The sequence below is a fragment of the Homo sapiens genome, chromosome 3, assembly GCF_000001405.40.
Source record: "Homo sapiens chromosome 3, GRCh38.p14 Primary Assembly".
Classification (NCBI taxonomy): domain Eukaryota; kingdom Metazoa; phylum Chordata; class Mammalia; order Primates; family Hominidae; genus Homo; species Homo sapiens.
Genome location: NC_000003.12, coordinates 122,536,426 through 122,556,130, shown reverse-complemented (window position 1 = coordinate 122,556,130; position 19,705 = coordinate 122,536,426). Strand labels below are relative to the sequence as shown.

General features: G+C 41.7%; 1 protein-coding gene and 1 long non-coding RNA gene across 33 annotated transcripts in view; one reads left to right on the top strand and one right to left on the bottom strand.

Annotated features, from left to right (window-relative positions):
* Window positions 1-19,705, bottom strand: part of LOC105374071 (uncharacterized) — a 34,072-nt gene that overhangs the window by 3,840 nt on the left and 10,527 nt on the right. The window lies entirely within an intron of this gene.
* Window positions 1-19,705, top strand: part of PARP9 (poly(ADP-ribose) polymerase family member 9) — a 36,861-nt gene that overhangs the window by 8,654 nt on the left and 8,502 nt on the right. For 23 of the 32 annotated variants that reach the window (NM_001387875.1, NM_001146103.2, NM_031458.3 and 20 more), the window contains exons 4-9: window positions 10-845; window positions 3,492-3,713; window positions 5,329-5,547; window positions 10,642-10,699; window positions 15,279-15,659; window positions 19,058-19,197. In NM_001387875.1, coding sequence (NP_001374804.1) covers window positions 10-845; window positions 3,492-3,713; window positions 5,329-5,547; window positions 10,642-10,699; window positions 15,279-15,659; window positions 19,058-19,197 — 1,856 coding nt within the window. Of the gene's footprint in view, window positions 1-9; window positions 846-3,491; window positions 3,714-5,328; window positions 5,548-9,762; window positions 10,700-15,278; window positions 15,660-19,057; window positions 19,320-19,705 lie in introns of all 32 variants that reach the window. The other 9 variants (NR_170857.1, NR_170859.1, NR_170861.1 and 6 more) reach the window with 3 other exon arrangements.

The window sequence follows — 19,705 nt, the reverse complement described above, 5'->3', positions numbered from 1 at the left end:
CTTTTCCAGAGACTGGTGCTCTTGGAGAAAACTATAGTTGGCAAATTCCCATTAACCACAATGACTTCAAAATTTTAAAAAATAATGAGCGTCAGCTGTGTGAAGTCCTCCAGAATAAGTTTGGCTGTATCTCTACCCTGGTCTCTCCAGTTCAGGAAGGCAACAGCAAATCTCTGCAAGTGTTCAGAAAAATGCTGACTCCTAGGATAGAGTTATCAGTCTGGAAAGATGACCTCACCACACATGCTGTTGATGCTGTGGTGAATGCAGCCAATGAAGATCTTCTGCATGGGGGAGGCCTGGCCCTGGCCCTGGTAAAAGCTGGTGGATTTGAAATCCAAGAAGAGAGCAAACAGTTTGTTGCCAGATATGGTAAAGTGTCAGCTGGTGAGATAGCTGTCACGGGAGCAGGGAGGCTTCCCTGCAAACAGATCATCCATGCTGTTGGGCCTCGGTGGATGGAATGGGATAAACAGGGATGTACTGGAAAGCTGCAGAGGGCCATTGTAAGTATTCTGAATTATGTCATCTATAAAAATACTCACATTAAGACAGTAGCAATTCCAGCCTTGAGCTCTGGGATTTTTCAGTTCCCTCTGAATTTGTGTACAAAGACTATTGTAGAGACTATCCGGGTTAGTTTGCAAGGGAAGCCAATGATGAGTAATTTGAAAGAAATTCACCTGGTGAGCAATGAGGACCCTACTGTTGCTGCCTTTAAAGCTGCTTCAGAATTCATCCTAGGGAAGAGTGAGCTGGGACAAGAAACCACCCCTTCTTTCAATGCAATGGTCGTGAACAACCTGACCCTCCAGATTGTCCAGGGCCACATTGAATGGCAGACGGTAAGTCTTTGTTTCTATTCTCTTGCACTGGCACAGGTGATCCCTGAAAATTAAATAATTTTTGAGTGTACACTATGCAACACTATGTAGAAACCATCTTGTTTGGATTAAGAATATGAGCCAGATGCAGTGGTACATGCCTGTAACCCAGCTACTTGAGAGCCTGAGGTTGGAGGACCATTTGAGCCCAGGAGTTGGAGGCCAGCCTAGGCAACATACCCAGACCCCATCTCTTTAAAAAATTTTAATTTAAGTTTTTTTTTAAAATAGGCTGGTCATGGTGGCTCATGCCTATAATCCCAGCACTTTGGGAGGTTGAGACAGGAGGATCACTTGAGCCCAGGTGTTCAAGACCAGCCTGAGGAACATAGCAAGACCCTGTCTCAAAAAAAAAAAAAAATTATCAGGGCATGGTGATGCACATCTGTAGTCCCAACTACTTTGGGAGACTAAGGCAGGAGGCGCACTTGAGCCCATGAGTTCAAGGCTGCAGTGATTCCTGCCAGGGCAACAGAGCAAGACTTTGACTTTGACTCTAAAAATAATAATAATAATAATATAGCATTCAGTGCCAGGCCATCTGGATTTGAATACCAGCTTTGCTATTTATTAACTGGGTAACCCAAAGCAAGTTACTTTATCTTTTGTTCTTCAGTTTCCTCATTTGTACATTGAGGATAATAATAGCATTTATATCTTAGAGCTGGGATCAATATACATAAAATGCTTAGAGTAGTGCTTGGCACATAATAAGTATTTATCATTATTATGGCTGTTGCTATTATCTTAGGCACCCGGAGGAATTAGAACAATCTTTGATCCCAAGGAACCTAAAATCAATTATATTCTTTATTATAAAAATATTCTTTATTTGAAAAATCTCTCTGGGGAGAAAAACCATCTCAACATTTCTGAAGCAACCTATCAATAGTAAACAAAAATAATACTTAAGAGTATGTAAATTTGTGACAAGAGTGGAGTATAGTGGACCAAGAAAGATTGCTTCAGAAGGTATGAGTTTTGAATGTGATCTCAAGTTTCGATGGGTATGATTGGCAGGAGGGGAAGCTTTCTGGGTGGTCAGAGTGACTTGATCAGAGAGATGCAGAGGAATTGACAGAAAATAATGGGCTTGACTACAGTCAGGAGACACAGGTGGAGCTCTAAGTCATAGTCTGTGTGTTTATACACAGAATATAACTCTGCCAGGGGCTGTGGAGAATGCAAGGTGCAACTAAGCATTTAGCTGGGGGTCACTGGGCACAAAGGTGAGGATGCTGGCAGGGAAGGGGAAGGAGTCAGGGTAGCGGTGAACCTAGGTATTTCTGAGTCAGTGCAGCTCCCCTGCTAGACGGAGAGCACCTTAAAGATGGAGATCTTGGCTTATTCATCCCTATAGCCTCAAGGCCTGGTCTGGGCATGCATCTAAGGGTTCAGCAAATTAAAGATAAATAAGTGGAGGGGGCAGGAGGGAGAAGGCACCACAACAGAGGGTGAGAATGAATATAAGGCTTTATTCTTTTTTTTTCTTCTGGATCAGTGATGTCACACTTAAGACTCTCGTGACCACAATCAAATAGTCTTAGACACTGGTAAAACAAACAAACCAATAACACTTATTGCCTATAAGACAATTAGAGGGAAGACTGAGGGGAGTTCATGAAATGAAATATTTGAGAAGTCATTAACACACAAATTTAAAACTAAAATGGAAGCATCCTAGTTGAGTAACTTATCCCTTTAACTGAATTTTTTAAGGTATATTTATTGCCAGCAACGTTAGGAACATTACAATTTTTAAAGGGTGTCGGTGCCCCCAAATTGCAAATTCTAATTGTGCTTTCAAAATGAAGCATTCATTAACATCAGTGAAGAAATACCTGAGTTACCCTGAAAGGGAGCCAAAGTCAATAGAATGATTAGGGGAATCTGGGCATGGGGGAAGGAAGGACACTATCATTTTTAGCACAGCTCTGAGGGTTAACTAGGAGACGATGTTATCTAAAGTACAGCTCATGTATATGTACAGTCTATTTCTGAAGAGAGAGATGAAGAACTTGGTTGCACATAAGATGGGTGGGTGAGTGGGGGGGTCTGGGAACCTGACCAAGAAGGGGACCTACTTTTCATTGAAGACCTTTTTGTCCCATTTGGAGTTTCTTTAACCTTGTTAAGTTTCTTATACCTTAAACCATAAAAACATTAGAAGGTGGAAATTCTCCAAGAAATTTTATTTCCTATTTAAAACGAGACAAAACAAAAACCCACGACGAAATAGCAAAAAGTCATGGTGGTCGGGCAGAGATGAAACCATTTATCGACAGAACTTAAAACAAATCACAGGGAATACTCAGAATCTAGCCATCTGGTAAGGTAATACAGCAAGGGGCAAACAGATGTTTGCAATGAAAATTATATCATCCGTACATTTACATAATTTCTGAATTATGTAATTCAGCTTCGTTCATGGCAATCAAATAATCACTCTTTGGAAATACGAGTTTCTATTCATTATTAATGAAATTTTTTAGAATTTAGGATCTTCAAAGAGTATTTTTCAAAGCTCTTCAGGGAAGTAAAGATTTAAATTAGTCATTTAAGAAGAAGGAATTTAACAATGAATCCTACCCTTTCTTCCCTTTTCAGGCAGATGTAATTGTTAATTCTGTAAACCCACATGATATTACAGTTGGACCTGTGGCAAAGTCAATTCTACAACAAGCAGGAGTTGAAATGAAATCGGAATTTCTTGCCACAAAGGCTAAACAGTTTCAACGGTCCCAGTTGGTACTGGTCACAAAAGGATTTAACTTGTTCTGTAAATATATATACCATGTACTGTGGCATTCAGAATTTCCTAAACCTCAGGTAAGTTTAAAATAAATGTGGCTTTATTTAGCTCCATAGTCTATACAGTCTTTTTTTTTTAAACAAATTTCCATCATTTCATTACATTCATGAAATATTTTGTCAAGTGGTATAGTTCTCAATTTTTAGCACACCTGCGAGTACCAGAAATACTGAACAGGTACAGTTGCCATAAGTTATCTTAAGAAGTTTGATTTAGGTCTGTCGCAGTGGCTCATGCCTGTGAGTCCAGCGCTTTGGGAGGCCAAGGTGGGAGGATCACTTGAGCCCAGGAGTCTGAGACCAGCCTAAGCAACATAGCAAGACCCCCATCTCTACCAAAAAGAAAAAAAAAATTAGCCAGGTGTGGTGGTGCACACCTGTAGTCCCAGCTACTCGGGAGGCTGAGGTAGGAGGATCACTTGAGCCCAGGAGATTGAGGCTGCAGTGAGCTGTGATCACACTGCTGCACTCTAGCCTGGGTGACAGAGACTGTCTCAAAAAACAAACAAAACAACAAAGAAGTTTAAAATGTTACCTAACCCATGTCTAAATTTTAAGTAGGCATACTGCAGATAGACACTGAAACTAGTATTCCCTCAGTCTGAACACTGGTTCACCCCAACATACCCAGTGACCTCGTTGGCCTTTTCCTAAGTAGGCAAGGGATTCAGCCTCTTATGTCCCTCCATGTGTTATATTCCTGGAGCAGCTGGGGTTCCCCCTCCAGCATCATTCCAATCAAATCTATTACCTGAGGTCTCTTCCCACCCATGCCTGCAGTGGAGCCTGGCTGTCTAGCCCACTCTCCACTGAGGCACATAAAATACAAGCATTAACGAACTCAGGAGGCAAAGGTTGCAGTGAGCCGAGATCGCGCCACTGCCCTCTAGCCTGGATGACAGAGTGAGACTCTGTCTCAAAAAATAAAATATAAAATAAAATAAAATAAAAGCATTAAAGAATAGGAGGAACCCACTCAGATGGTGAAAAGAGGGAAACTTAATCCCCTTCTCTGCCTTTGTCTATCTTTCTTCTTCACCATTTCTGGTCCCTTCTTGAGAGCTCTCTAATCCCAAACTGGTCCTCTAGTCTCCCTCTATCCCTCAGTTTTCCAAAGTCCTTCCATGGGCAACATTCCTGTATTACTTTGATGTTAACAGTTGGTAGAAATTTAAATCTGCCAAAAATATTAGCATTTCTCCAAGAGAAATTACATGATAGATCTTAATGATGTTGAATAAGTGCTGCTTTCTTATTTTAATCTCGATCTCCTTTATGAAAATTCAAGGGCTCTTGACGTTGACCTGGAAGGGGCAGGTGAATGGGGTAAACAGATGGTTGGCTCTCTGACCTGGGGGGATGGGTAAGGCTATATAAACTGGGAGAAATTCTAGTGCCCTCATGTCCTGAATAGCACAAGATGGCCACTCTATTGCTTCAGTTTCTCACCATCTAACCTTATACCATAATGGGTTCCCTCTGGAGTGGGACCTTTCCTGTCATCTGAGGAGGCAGGGACACGAACCCTGAGGGAGGGTGAAGGTGGACATTGTAAAATATGGGCAGGATCAAGGGGTAAGTGGAGTCTTGTTCTTGACTCAAATGCTGATCTTAAATTTGTGTTTTCCTGCAGATATTAAAACATGCAATGAAGGAGTGTTTGGAAAAATGCATTGAGCAAAATATAACTTCCATTTCCTTTCCTGCCCTTGGGACTGGAAACATGGAAATAAAGAAGGAAACAGCAGCAGAGATTTTGTTTGATGAAGTTTTAACATTTGCCAAAGACCATGTAAAACACCAGTTAACTGTAAAATTTGTGATCTTTCCAACAGATTTGGAGATATATAAGGTAAGTTAATATCTTAGAAATGTCCTACTGTTCATTCATTCATTCATTCATTCAGCAACATCTGTTTAGTATCTACAATGTAAGATGCAGGGGATGCAGGGCTAGGTGCTGTACAGTGTGGTGGTGTTCTAACTTGGTGAAGTTTAATTTTTACAGATTGTCCACCTCTGACCTAGTAAAACATGTCATTATAGAAGCCATGTTTGGCAAGACACGGTGGCTCACACCTGTAATCCCAGCACTCTGGGAGGCGGAGGCAGGCGGATCACCTGAGGTCGGGAGTTCTAGACCAACCTGACCAACATGGAGAAACCCTGTCTCTACTAAAAATACAAAATTAGCTGGGCGTGGTGGCACATGCCTTTAATCCCAGCTACTAGGGAGGCTGAGGCAAGAGAATAGCTTGAACCTGGGAGGCGGAGATTGTGGTGAGCCGAGATCACGCCATTGTACTCCAGCCTGAGCAACAAGAGTGAAACTCCATCTCAAAAACAAAACAAAACAAAACAAAAAACAAAGAAGCCATGTTTACCCACTACCTAGCTTCTGTCTTTTCTTTTAATGGCACTTATTCTTCCCTCTGCTCCTTAAAGGTAAGCAACCTTCTAGTTTCAGTGTGGGGTCCTTGCCCCTCTCTCATCTCTCTCCCTTCAAGAACACAACTGTTCTTACAACTTCTGTGAAGTCCTGTCTTCTTAGCCAATCCTCTCTCATTTCCACTTGGATCTCTGACCGTCATCTCAAATCCAGTGTATTTAAGGCAAATTCTTTGTCTTCTCTCTCTCTCTCTTTTTTTTTTTAAACAGATGTGATCTTGCTCTGTTGCTCAGGCTGGAGTGCAGTGGCACAATCATAGCTCACTGCAGTCTTGAACTCCTGGGCTCAAGTGATCCTCCCACTCCAGCCTCTTGAGTAGCAGGCACTACAGGCACATGCTACCATGCCTGGCTAATTTTTAAATTTTTTGTAGAAAAGCAGTCTTACTATGTTGCCCAATCTGGTCTTGAGCTCCTGGGCTCAAGTGATCTTCCCATCTCAGCCTCCCAAAGCTCTGGGATAATAGGTGTGAGCCAATATGCCTGGCCTGTCTTCTCCTCCTCAATCAGTTTTCCCTCTAAAATCCCCATCAGTCTCAGCTTTGCCTCTCGCTGGCTATATAACCTTGGGCAAGTTAGTTTACTTATCTGTGCCTCAGTTTCCTCATCCTTAAAAGAGGGATACTGATTACCATCTTATGGAGCTGTTGTGAAGATGAAATGAGTTAATACAGGTGGGTGAGGTGGCTCACGCCTGTAATCCCAGCACTTTGGGAGGCTGAGGCAGGCGGATCATCTGAGGTCACGAGTTTGAGACCAGTGTAGCTAACATGATGAAATCCCGTTTCTACTAAAAATACAAAAAATTAGCCAGGCGTGGTGGCACACACCTGTAATCCCAGCTACTCGGGAGGCTGAGGCAGGAGAATTGCTTGAACCCAGGAGGCGGAGGTTGGAGTGAGCTGAGATCGCACCATTGCACCCGGGCTTGGGCAACAAGAGTGAAACTCCATCTCAAAAAAAAAAAAAATGAGTTAATACCTGTAAAACACTTAGAATAGTACCTAGCACAGAGTAGAAGGTTAGCTGTTACATCAACTGTAATGAGCTGTAGTTCACTGAGTGCTGAATTGTTACTAAATTCAGTGAATTGTTTATCTTTTCTTTCCAATTTCTTTAACAGCAGTGGTATGCCTGGCTAGTTTTGCCATGTCTCCAGTACTGCCCTCAAATTCAACCCATTCTTTTTTAGCTCATCTGTAGGTGACCTCGGAAGGAAATCAGCTGTGGTCTAACACATTTGGGGTCCATGTGTTGGAGGGGAGCTTGTCTTATGTGTCTGAGTGCACTTCATCTCAGCTTTTTGTTTGGGTGGACAGATCAAGCTGAGTTCCTAGCATGTGAATAAACTGTGATATTTTCAGCATAATTAGTATATATTGCAGTGCTGTTCTGCCTTTAAAGTACCGACCATCTCTGCTTTATTCTCACTTAGCTGGCATTTTCGAGAAAGACTTTAATGATGTTAGGGAAGAATAAAAAGGAAAGGAAATAAGATACAGCAACCTAAAATAGGTTTTCAAGATATAGGTTTCTGATTCTGCCAACAGCAACATCCGAGTTTTAGAGAGACTTCTCGGCATGTGTCTGGATTTTGGATATAGAGGGCCTTGCAAGGTTTGCCTTGCAGAGAGTGGCTGCAAACATTAGTTCTCTGACTGCTCATATTCCCACCTCTTGGCCTGCTCTATGTGCATGGTTGCCATTTTATCTCTGCCTATATGGAAGTGAATTTATACTTGTTCCAGCTTGCTCTTTCTTGGAGCAAGTATAAAAGTTCTTATTCCTTCTGCTGCCCAATTAAACACGGGGAGATTTGTAGCATTTGCTGATTTCTGTGGCTGCTTTCAAGCTGTTGATATGACATCACTGAAAACAGATTTAGAAGAGATGGTCACAGCAAGCTGTCTTGAGTCATTGTATGCCAGCTCCAGTATCCCACTGCGCCTCACCCACAGCTAACTGGTGAGATGGTGGTGCATGACCCAAGGAAGTAGCTCACCTTCTGATAAAATGAATAATCCTGTCCTTCAGATGAAGTTCATCAGTTTCCCATGCAGAGGATTATCTCTAAGCCCAGATAGGTGCCCTGATCACCTCCCTGAACTATTTCTTTTTTTAATTTCCTTTTTTTTGAGACAGGATGTCGCTCTGCTGCCTCGGCTGGAGTGCAGTGGTGTGATCATAACTCCCTGAAGCCTCAGCCTCCCAGGCTCAAGCAATCCTCCCATCTCAGCCTCCTGAGTAGTTAGACCTACAGGCATGCGCCACCATGCCTGGCTAATACTTTTATTTTTTGTGGAAGTGGGGTCTCACTATGTTGCCCAGGCCAATCTCAAACTCCTGGACTCAAGTAATCCTCCCACCTCAGCCTCCCAAAATTCTGGGATTACAGACGTGAGCCACCGTGCCCAGCCCCTGAACTTTATGAAGCACCATTTTCATACAAGAGGAATTAACCACATCTAGAAAAGAAGGTTCATTCTCTCCAACATACAAACAAAAATATGCATGACAGTTTAAGAAAAATGGAAAGATCAACCACGGTCTGAGCGCTCCCCCAGGGACTAATAATAAAAATAGTGCCGTAGGGGGCCGGGCTTGGTGGCTCATGCCTGTAATCCCAGCCCTTTGGGAGGCTGAGCTGGGCGGATCACCTGAGGTCAGGAATTCGAGACCAGTCTGGCCAACATGGTGAAACCCCAGCTCTACTAAAAATACAAAACTTAGAAGGGCATGGTGGTACGTGCCTGTAATCCCAGCTCCTTGGGAGGCTGAGGCAGGAGAATCACTTGAACCAGGGAGACGGAGGTTGCAGTGACCCGAGATTGCACCACTGCACGCCAGCCAGGGCCATCTCAAAAAAAAAAAAAAAGAAAAAAAAATACGTGTATATATATATGTGTGTGTGTGTGTATATATGTATGTGTATATATATGTGTGTATGTATATGTGTGTGTATGTGTGTGTGTGTATATATATATATATATATATATATATATATATATATATATATATAGTGCCATGTATTGTGTCTGTCAGGCACTGTGCTGAGAAGGTGTCTTATCTCCTTCTCCCCTTAATCTTTTGATGAAGCCACTGTTGTCGTCTCCATTTTACAAATCCAAAAACATAACCCAGAGGTTAATATGCACACAGCTAGTTACATGGCCAAACCAAGATCAACCTTGGTGTCTGTCTGCCCTCAAAGCCTTGTTCTGAACCATTAAACAGAAACACAGAGAATGATACATCTTTCAGTTTTGTAACTCAAACAAGAGGATTATTTTACACAGTAATTTACATTAAAAGTGAATGTTGACCATTCCTTCAGGCTCTTTTCAGCATTAACACTACATTATATCCACATGGAGGTATGTGTGCAGACATAATGTATACATCTTCTAATAAGCCTTTTAATAAGCATGTATTTTCTTCCTAAATAAGTTGTAGTGAGATAAATGCATTTAATACACCTAACCTACCAAACATTATAGCTTAGCCTATCCTACCTTAAACATGTTCAGAACACTTATATTTGCCTATAGTTGGGAAAAATCATCTAACGCAAGCCTACTTTATAAAGTGTTGCGTATCTCATGTAACTTATTGAATACAGTGTTTACTCTTGTGATCACGTGGCTGACTGAGAGCTTGGCTTGCTGCCGCCGCCCAGCATCATGAAAGAGCATCTTACTACATGTCAACAGCCTGGGAAAAGCTCAAGATTAAAAATTCCAAGTACAGTTTCCACTGAATGTATATCACTTCTGCACCATCAATAAAGCCTAAAAGTCCTAAATCAAACCATTGTAAGTCAGGACCATCTATATTGCCAATTGTATCTACTTTGAACAAGGAAGACAGTGAATACCATGGCTCCAAAAGCTAAGTGAGATGTGTTATTTCTAATAGACATTATGTTAATGGATCTGTGTTGCAATATGCACAAATCTTTGTCTATAGACTTTCATATAATAACAATTACAATAGCTACCATGTACTTAATGTTTACTACAAGCCAGGAACAATTTTAAGCACTCTATAGGAATTAACTTACATAAAACAGATTATTTTATTATTCAATTTACAGACCAAGTTTGGTGTGTATACCATTTTTAAATGAATTTGTGTTTTATTAGTTACCTATAGTTTTCTTCTTCAGTGACATATCCACAGCTTTAGTTTAGCACAAGCAGGGCATTAAAATCTGTTGAATGAATGCACGGTTATATTTTGTCTCGGAATGTATAGTCTTCTTTATTTATACCAGATTTTGATTTCATCTCCATTTTTCCTATGCTTATTCTTTCCGTGTTCTAATAGACTGAGGTCCTCTTCTCTGGGACTTTCCTAAAGGCTGCTTTAGATTTGTGGTAGTAGGAATGGGACTGACAGAGTGGATGAAGTCAAGTGCTGTGTGTGCAGAGAGGGAGACTTTGATGACAATGGCTATCAGCCCTGCTTATGACTCTCTGCTCTGTTTTGCTTCTTGTAGGCTTTCAGTTCTGAAATGGCAAAGAGGTCCAAGATGCTGAGTTTGAACAATTACAGTGGTGAGTAAGAAATTCACAGGCCAATAAGTAGGGTCGCCCACCATTGGCTCATTCTATTCTTGATCATCTGAACTAACGGAGGGGAGAAGAAGAATAAATAAGCCAAAGGTATTGCATTGTGGTCCTGCTTGGATACCTGCCTACTCTCTACCCTGATCATGATTCTTTTCTTGCTTGGTCCAGTTTCATGATATGAACAGAGGAAGGTTGAGTTGCAGTGGATAATCCAAGATGTGGGTGGTTGATTCATAAATAGATATCTATAATTTTTTCCCAAGGAAAAGTTCTGGCTTCCATAAACTGGCATTCAGTCACTCTTTCTGCTCTGAACATCTAAATAGGGTTACTTATTGTAATTATGGAAAACACATCTCAGTAATGCCAGATAAATGGGTTAACTCAGTGTTACTCAAACCCAAGTAATCACTGGGATCATGATGGAAACTTTAAAAAACAAACAAACGCAAAACCCCCAAAATATGTATTTGTCCCAACTCTACAGATGCTGATTCAGGGACTCTGGGTCTGGGCCAAGCATATCTATTTTGAATGCTCCCTAGTCAATTTTGATGCCGAGCATATTTTCTTTTCTTTTTGAGACAAGTTCTGACTCTGTCACTCTGGTTGGAGTGCAGTGGCGTGATCTCAGCTCACTGCATCCTCTGCTTCACAGGCTCAAGCCATCCTCCCACCTAAGTCTCCCAAGTAGCTTGGACTACAGGCACATGCCACCACACCCAGCTAATTTATTTTATTATTTTATTTAATTTTTTTTTTGGTAGAGACGGGGTTTCGCCATGTTGCCCAGACTGGTCTTAAACTCCTGGGCTCAAGTGATCTGCCTGCCTCCACCTCCGAAAATGTTGGGATTACAGGCATATAACATCATTCTTTTAGTGGAGTTTGGGTGGACTGAGATGGAATGTTCAGTGGCCTGGCAGTGCTGTAAGTAAGGAAGGAGAGCATTAACAGTTCTGGCCTGGAACTGTGCCTTTTATGATCCTGTTTATTTATCTGTATAATGATGATAATAACAGACATTGTGAGGATAATAGATTATGTATGTAAAAGTGTTCTATAAATTGAAAGCATTAAACAAATGCCAGGCAATAAATAATGACTGGGAAGATAGACAAACTCCCCAGTTAGCTAAGGGGAGAAAGGGATTCCTTTTGACTGGAAAAGATCAAGAATGGCTTCATGAATGAGATGGTTCTAAGCTGGGCTTTGAGCATGGCAAGATTTCCAATGTCCAGAGAGGGTAGGGTGGGGCATCCAAGGTAGAGAAAACCCACAGGAGCAAAGAAATCCAGTGCATGTTTGGGGAACCACAGGGAATCCATGGTGGGTACATAAGAGGAGTTTTAGGTGAGGATAACATAAAAAAGGAACATAAAAAGGTCTGTATGTCATTAATCTGAATAATGGCGGCAAATGTCACCATTTAATTCAGTAATTCTTGCGGACATCTGTAAAGGAATTATATAGCACAGGACAATAATTAACATGGAGATGATTAATCAAGGGACATGGCGGCTCAAGCCTGTAATCCCAGCACTTTGGGAGGCCAGGGCAGGTGGATCACTTGAGGTCAGGAGTTCGAGACCAGCCTGGGCAAGATGTTAAAACCCATCTCTACAAAAAATACAAAAATTAGCCAGGTGTGGTGGTGCATACCTATAGTCCCAGCTACTTGGGAGGCTGAGATGGGAGGATCACCTAAGCCCGGGGAGGTCAAGGCTGCAGTGAGCCATGATTGTGCCACTGCACTCCAACCTGGGTGACAAATAAACAAAATGATTAATGATGATGATCTCAGATTATCAAGGAAAGGTTAAATAAACTATTTAGGAAGGGCCGGGCACCGTGGCTTACGCCTGTAATCCCAGCACTTTGGGAGGCTGAGGCAGGCGGATCACCTGAGGTCGGGAGTTCGAGACCAGCCTGACTAACATGGAGAAATCCCATCTCTGCTAAAAATACAAAATTAGCCGGGCATGGTGGCACATGTCTGTAATCCCAGCTACTCGGGAGGCTGAGGCAGGAGAATCGCTTAAACGTGGGAGGTGGAGATTGCAGTGAGCCAAGATTGCGCCATTGCACTCCAGCCTGAGCAACAAGAGGGAAACTGTCTCAAAAAAAAACAAAAAACAAACAAACAAACAAAAAACTATTTAGGAAGGCAGAGAGGTGGTACGTTATCATTAGAAATATTTAATTCAGCCGGGCACGGTGGCTCATGCCTGTAATCCCAGCACTTTGGGAGGCCGAGGCAAGTGGATCACCTGAGGTCAGGAGTTCGAGACCAGTTTGGCCAACATGGTGAAACCTTATCTCTACTAAAAATACAAAAAAGAATTAGCCAGGCATGGTGGCGTGTGCCTGTAATCCCAACTACTCAGGAGGCTGAGGCAGGAGAATCGCTTGAACCCAGGAGGCGGAGGTTGCAGTGAGCTGAGATTGTGCCACTGCACTCCAGCTTGGGCAACGGAGGGAGACTTGGTCTCAAAAAAATAAATAGATAACTCAGAGTTAAAATTCAGTGTATTTTGGTGCTAGAAGAGTTATCCTTTAGTGATCCGAACAATTTACTTATCTAGAAGAATAGTGCTCGCTTTGCCAACACATATACTAAAGTTAGAATAATAATTATTGGCCGGGTGCAGTGGCTCACGCCTGTAATCCCAGCACTTTGGGAGGCCAAGGCGAGCAGATCATGAGGTCAGGAGTTCAAGACCAGCCTGGCCAACATGGTGAAACCCCATCTCTACTAAAAGTACAAAAATTAGCCGGGTGTGGTGGTGGGCGCCTGTAATCCCAGCTACTCGGGAGGCTGCAGCAGGAGAATCGTCTGAACCCAGGAGGCGGAGGCTGCAGTGAGCCGAGATTGCGCCACTACACTCCAGCCTGGGCGACAGCCTGGTGTGAACCCGGGAGGCGGAGCTTGCAGTGAGCCAAGATTGCACCACTGCACTCCAGCCTGGGCAACAGAGCGAGACTCTGTCTCAAAAAAAAAATTAGTATTATTATTATTATGATTATTGGCCAGGCATGCTGACTCATGCCTGTAGTCCCAGTGCTTTGGGAGGCCAAGGTGGGTGTATTGCTTGAGGCCAGGAGGTCAAGACCAGCATAGTGACACCCTGTCTCTAAAAAAAAAAAAAAAAAAAAAAAGTAGTAGTAGAAGGAGGAGGAGGAGAAGAAAGGGGTAGGGGGAGGGAGAGGAGAAAGGAAGAAGAGGAAGAAGAAGAAGAAAAAGAAGTTTCTCTTGATAATAATGGATAAATGCAATATCACTATGCATTGTTTTTATTTTCTCCTAAAAAATAATATAATCTCCTAGACAGAACAAGGGTTTTAAAAAAAGTATGCCTCCAATATAAAACCTGGGTTACTTCTTACTGTTGTCTAAAACCTTGGCTTTTGTCTTTTTTATCTTTACTCAGAGGAAGGCCATCCTCCCCATCTTACTTCTAGGTCTGTCCTTATACTTCTTTTGTAGCTCCTGTACCACACAACTGAGATCTCAGGAGAAAGATGAGAATTTCCACTGCTATTCAGATATTACTCACTGGGAGGCATATGTGGGAGCACTGGAGTCAGATGCCCATACCTACTAGCTTCATGGCCACCACTAACTAGTCCTATAGCCATGGGCAAGTTACTTAATGACTCTGTGAATCAGTTTCCTTGTTGGTGAGATGGGACAACTACTAGTATCTTTCTCATAAGGTTGTGAGGAATCCTGAGTAGTGGAATTACAGGTATTTCTTCTTTCCATTATATGTCGATAATTTCCCAATTTTTAAATAATAAACATGTATTATTCTTAAAATCAGAGATTCATGTTTGTTTTTTAAAAAATAATTTTGACTCTTCAAGCTCTGTGTCTTTCAGAGATGTTTGATTTTAAAACTAGTAGCAAGAGGTTAAGGAAAATCCTATTCAGCAGGAAATAATACTTAGTTAACATCCAGGGTGAGATCACAAGGTGAACTCATCTGTGAACTGCCAAATGCAACATAGCAGAGGCAAGAGACGATAAAGCTAATCCATTACAAGCTAAACTCTGTGTTCCCAAGGAGGCTGTAAACGATACAGGTTGATTTCCTTCATACCCAATGCAGCTTTCAGAGATAGGTACTTAATTGAAGCTGCTACTGCTGACAGTGGTGACAATATCATAGGGGTAAAACACTGGCCATGGTGTTTTGTTCTGCACTGTTTTAAAACCCACTAGTCGGCCGGGCACGTTGGCTCACGCCTGTAATCCTGGCACTGTGGGAGGCCGAGGCAGGCAGATCACGAGGTCGGGAGATTGAGACCATCCCGGCTAACACGGTGAAACCCCGTCTCGACTAAAAATACAAAAAATTAGCCGGGCTTGGTGGCGGGCGCCTGTAGTCCCAGCTACTCGGGAGGCTGAGGCAGGAGAATGGCGTGAACCCGGGAGGCGGAGCTTGCAGTGAGCTGAGATCGCAGCACTGCACTCCAGCTTGTGAGACAGAGCGAGACTCCATCTCAAAAAAAAAACAAAAAACTGCTAGTCTTCCATGGTTGCTTATTATAGTCATTTCAGTCCCCCAGTCAACCAGAGAGGAGAAAAGAGAAAATGGGCTTGAAGCTAGATCTCCTGCCATCAATCTGATGGGATTCAACGTGGAAGAGATGTATGAGGCCCACGCATGGATCCAAAGAATCCTGAGTCTCCAGAACCACCACATCATTGAGAATAATCATATTCTGTACCTTGGGAGAAAGGAACATGACATTTTGTCTCAGCTTCAGAAAACTTCAAGTGTCTCCATCACAGAAATTATCAGCCCAGGAAGGACAGAGTTAGAGATTGAAGGAGCCCGGGCTGACCTCATTGAGGTGGTTATGAACATTGAAGATATGCTTTGTAAAGTACAGGAGGAAATGGCAAGGAAAAAGGAGCGAGGCCTTTGGCGCTCGTTAGGTGAGTAACTTTCTATCAAATTAGAAAGTAAATTCTCCCCATTGTTTCTTCTTTTGGGTGTGAGCGTGTATGTATGGATGTGGGTAAGAGACAGAAGGAGAGAGGAGGGATCAAACATTCTGGTTCTTTGTTAGATCATAAGCCTTTGTGAGCTATTTTTTTGCTCTCTTTTGACAATCAGGGTTATTTGTGAACACATACACAAACACAATTTTATTTACTTGTAATAACCTTGATTGTCTAAGAGGCAATTACATGGAATTTTGGCAGTGGTAAAACTCAAGCCCAAGCCATGGGGAAAAGTATACATTTCTAATTCTTCAGATGCAGCACTCAAGTGTAGACACATTCCATCTGATTAACTTATTTCTTTTATCAAGTTTTATTGTATTTATTTGTCACTGACAGCATTAGGAACGCTAAAATTACTTACCTTGAGCCCTCTCGCCAATGAAGTTATACATTGGTAATGTGAGGTACACTCAAGTATCTCCCATTCAGCGGGACTAAACTCATCAGGATACACGTGGGAATTTGGATCTGGAGAGATCCTTTTAACAGAGCCCTAGAGCTAACTAGGAAATTATACTATTGAAATGCCATCTCGGGGCTGGGCACGGTGGCTCACGCCTGTAATCCCGGCACTTTGGGAGGCCGAGGTGGGCGCATCACCTGAGGTTGGGAGTTCAAGACCAATCTGACCAACATGGAGAAACTCTGTCTCTACTAAAAATACAAAAAAAATTAGCCAGGCATGGTGGCCCATGCTTGTAATCCCAGCTACTCAGGAGGCTGAGGCAGGAGAATCACTTGAACCCAGGAGGCAGAGGTTGCAGTGAACCAAGATCGAACCATTGCACTCCAGCCTGGGCAACAAAAGCGAAACTCTGTCTCAAAAAAAAAAGAAAGAAAGAAAGAAAGAAAGAAAGAAAGAAAGAAAGAAAGAAAGAAAGAAAGAAAGAAATGCCATCTTGGGAGATAGAGATAGAGATAGATATAGATATCATTCAACTAATGCATATTGCACCCATGACGTGCCAAGCATTGTGCTAGGTGCAAGGACTACAGCAATAAACAAGATAGACATTGTTCCTGCTCAAAGTCTAATGGGGGACCTTGACGAGCACACAGATTAGTGATGATAGAGGAGAGCGAAAAGTGCTCTGGGAGCACTGCGGAGAGGCACCTAACCCAGACTTGGGAAGTCAGGGAAGGGCTTATCACAGGTGTCATAAATGGAGAACTGGATAATAGGTAGAAGTCAGGCAAAGAAAGAAAACGTCAAGAAATAAGATTGTCGCAAGGCCTGGATTATGCAAGACCTTATAAATCACGTGAAAGAGTACAGAGAGTTTCTTGAAACAAATAGGGAACCTTAAAGAATTTTAAGCAAAGTTAACATCAGACTTGTGTTTTTAGAAAGATCATTGGTTATAATGTGGAGAATGGATTTAGTAAGAGGTACAAAAATTCAGAGGCAAAATTTCAAAGGACACCTTATTTTCACCATGTGTTTGTAAAAATAATGCAGGAATAAATGATTAGAGTGAGCGAGAGTTCGCCATAAATGTTGTATTTACATCCCACAGAAAACACAGTGGCAAAAAAAAAAACATGGATAAAAAGAATACACAAGCATAAGAACCAAGATTATGATTTTCGCTTAGTTTTTGAAACAGTGAATGTAGGTATTGAAACTGACACCAGTGCCAGCTTAGGGGAACAGGATACAAAGAAACATGGATCTCCTATAAAACTTGTGGCATTATTTTGTTAGAGTGTGTGTGTGTGTGTGTGTGTGTGTGTGTGTGTGGCATTGCTTTAAATTAACTGAAATCATAAGGTGGGCCAATGCTCCCAGCTATTGACAATTTTGAGTCATATAAGTCTCTTGCTCTGCCGCACGATGGCACTTTTGGTAGTTGAGGACTAAGCATATTATTCCATAGAAGCCTTAGAGGTTCAGGCAAACCTGCCCTGTCTTAATCAGATTAAGATCTTCATTAACAAAATGGATAATTTTGAGATGAGTTATCATTATAAGGAATATCAAATATCCATCAGAACAATAATTTTATTTTTTAAATCAAAGTTAGGCATGGCCTCTCTTTTATGCCACTCTTAATCCTTCCTGGTAGGCATTTCCAACGGCAGAAGTTTGTGATCTTTGGGTCCCCAGTGCCCAGCCCAGTGCCTGACATGTAGGAGGAGCTTGGCAAATGTTTGTTGAACTCAAGTAAACTGAACTCTAATATTACACCTTATAAATATGAGCTATTGCTCCCCAAAGTTAATTTACAGTCTTCTGTTGTAGTTTCTGGGCTTTGCAACTCCTCTGCTATGGAGTTTTGTCCCTCCTACTTTCTCAGATTTACAACTTGGCTCTCTAGTGAGTTCCCCTCAATTCGTCACCTGCTTTTTGTGGTTAAATTGAGCCCATTCAATTAGATAATGAACCAGGGATTAGGTCATTTTAGTATACTTGGTCTTAAGTCAAACTAAAAGTAAACCAAGAGAAAACAAGTCTTTTTTGGTTTTCATTTGTCCACCTGTATATTTAGTCCAGTAAGGAGCTCCCTTGGACAAAAACAGGTTGAAAACAAGGATGGGAGGAAAAAAAGGAAGGAAGGAGGAAGGAAGGAAGGAAAGAAGGAAGTAAGGAAGGAAGGAGAGGGAGGGAGGGAAATGGGAGGAGGAGAAAGGAGGAAGGGAGGAAAAACAAGACATCATAGACTCTTAATCTCCAAATTTTGCTCTTCTTCATTGGGTGGTATATGAGTGATACATGTTCCAAGTATTTTGCCTTGTCACTTACAAAAAGCATTGGTGAAAGCCAGGTTTGTAATCTTAGTTCTTTACTTACTAGGTGTGTGATATGGGGCAAGTTACTTATTTGAACTTCAATTTCTTTATTTGTAAAATTGTGTTAATTATTACGTGGTGGTGCTATAATGATCAAATAAGGAAGGAAACTGAAAATTTTGAAGTGTTTTACAAATGTCATGTCATTTCCCATCATTCCTTACTTAATATTTTCTAATGCCTGTCTGTTTTTGCTGATAGGCATTGGGGCTAGAAATAAAAACATTTCCTATGAGCAACACAATTATTTCTCATCATTACAGCATTGATTGTGGAGAAGCAAGTATATATTATGCTCCTTTTACTCACATCCCCTTAGCCTCATGATTCAAATCATCCAAAGACAAATTTATTACCCCTTTATTTTATCCTGACCGCTCGTAGTATTATAGCTCTCCTCGCATGTCCTAAACACATGAGGCACACAATTTAAACTGGCTAATCCCTTCCTCTAAATTTCTAGAATTTGTTTCATTAAATTTCTTTTCTCCTCTCTCAGAGCATTGAAGTAAAGTTTTTGTGTTACTCATTTTTAGGACAGTGGACTATTCAGCAACAAAAAACCCAAGACGAAATGAAAGAAAATATCATATTTCTGAAATGTCCTGTGCCTCCAACTCAAGAGCTTCTAGATCAAAAGAAACAGTTTGAAAAATGTGGTTTGCAGGTTCTAAAGGTATACCTAACAAAGGGGAAGATTTGGCTCATTTTGTTGTTAATTAACTTGTTTCTGTAGCCAAAGGAAAAGCTCACCTGCTGATGATTCTAAGCTGGCTGCTCATGGACTTGGAATCCTAGGTCAGTAAGACTGAAAAGAGAGCAGGGCAGGGCAGGCACGAGGGATATAGTTGGAATCGGGAGGTAGGAATGACATCAGGACACACAGAAGCAAGGATTCCAGATCCAGGAAGCCCGTCTTTGAGCAAAATAAAAGAAGTGGAATAGCATTTATCACACTGTGTTATAATTGTTTACCTATTTTTCTATCTCACTAAACTATGAGCTTAAGAGGGCAGAGACTATGTCTAGGTCAGTGAATTTTTGTTAAAGGAATTTATTAGAGAAGGGGCAGGGAATTTTGAAGAACGAATCAAAATAGGAGAGGATTAGAGGGAGGAGAGACTCTTTTGCAACTTTCTATGAAAAGCGAATTGCATGCAAAGTAGTATTATGCACATAAGCTC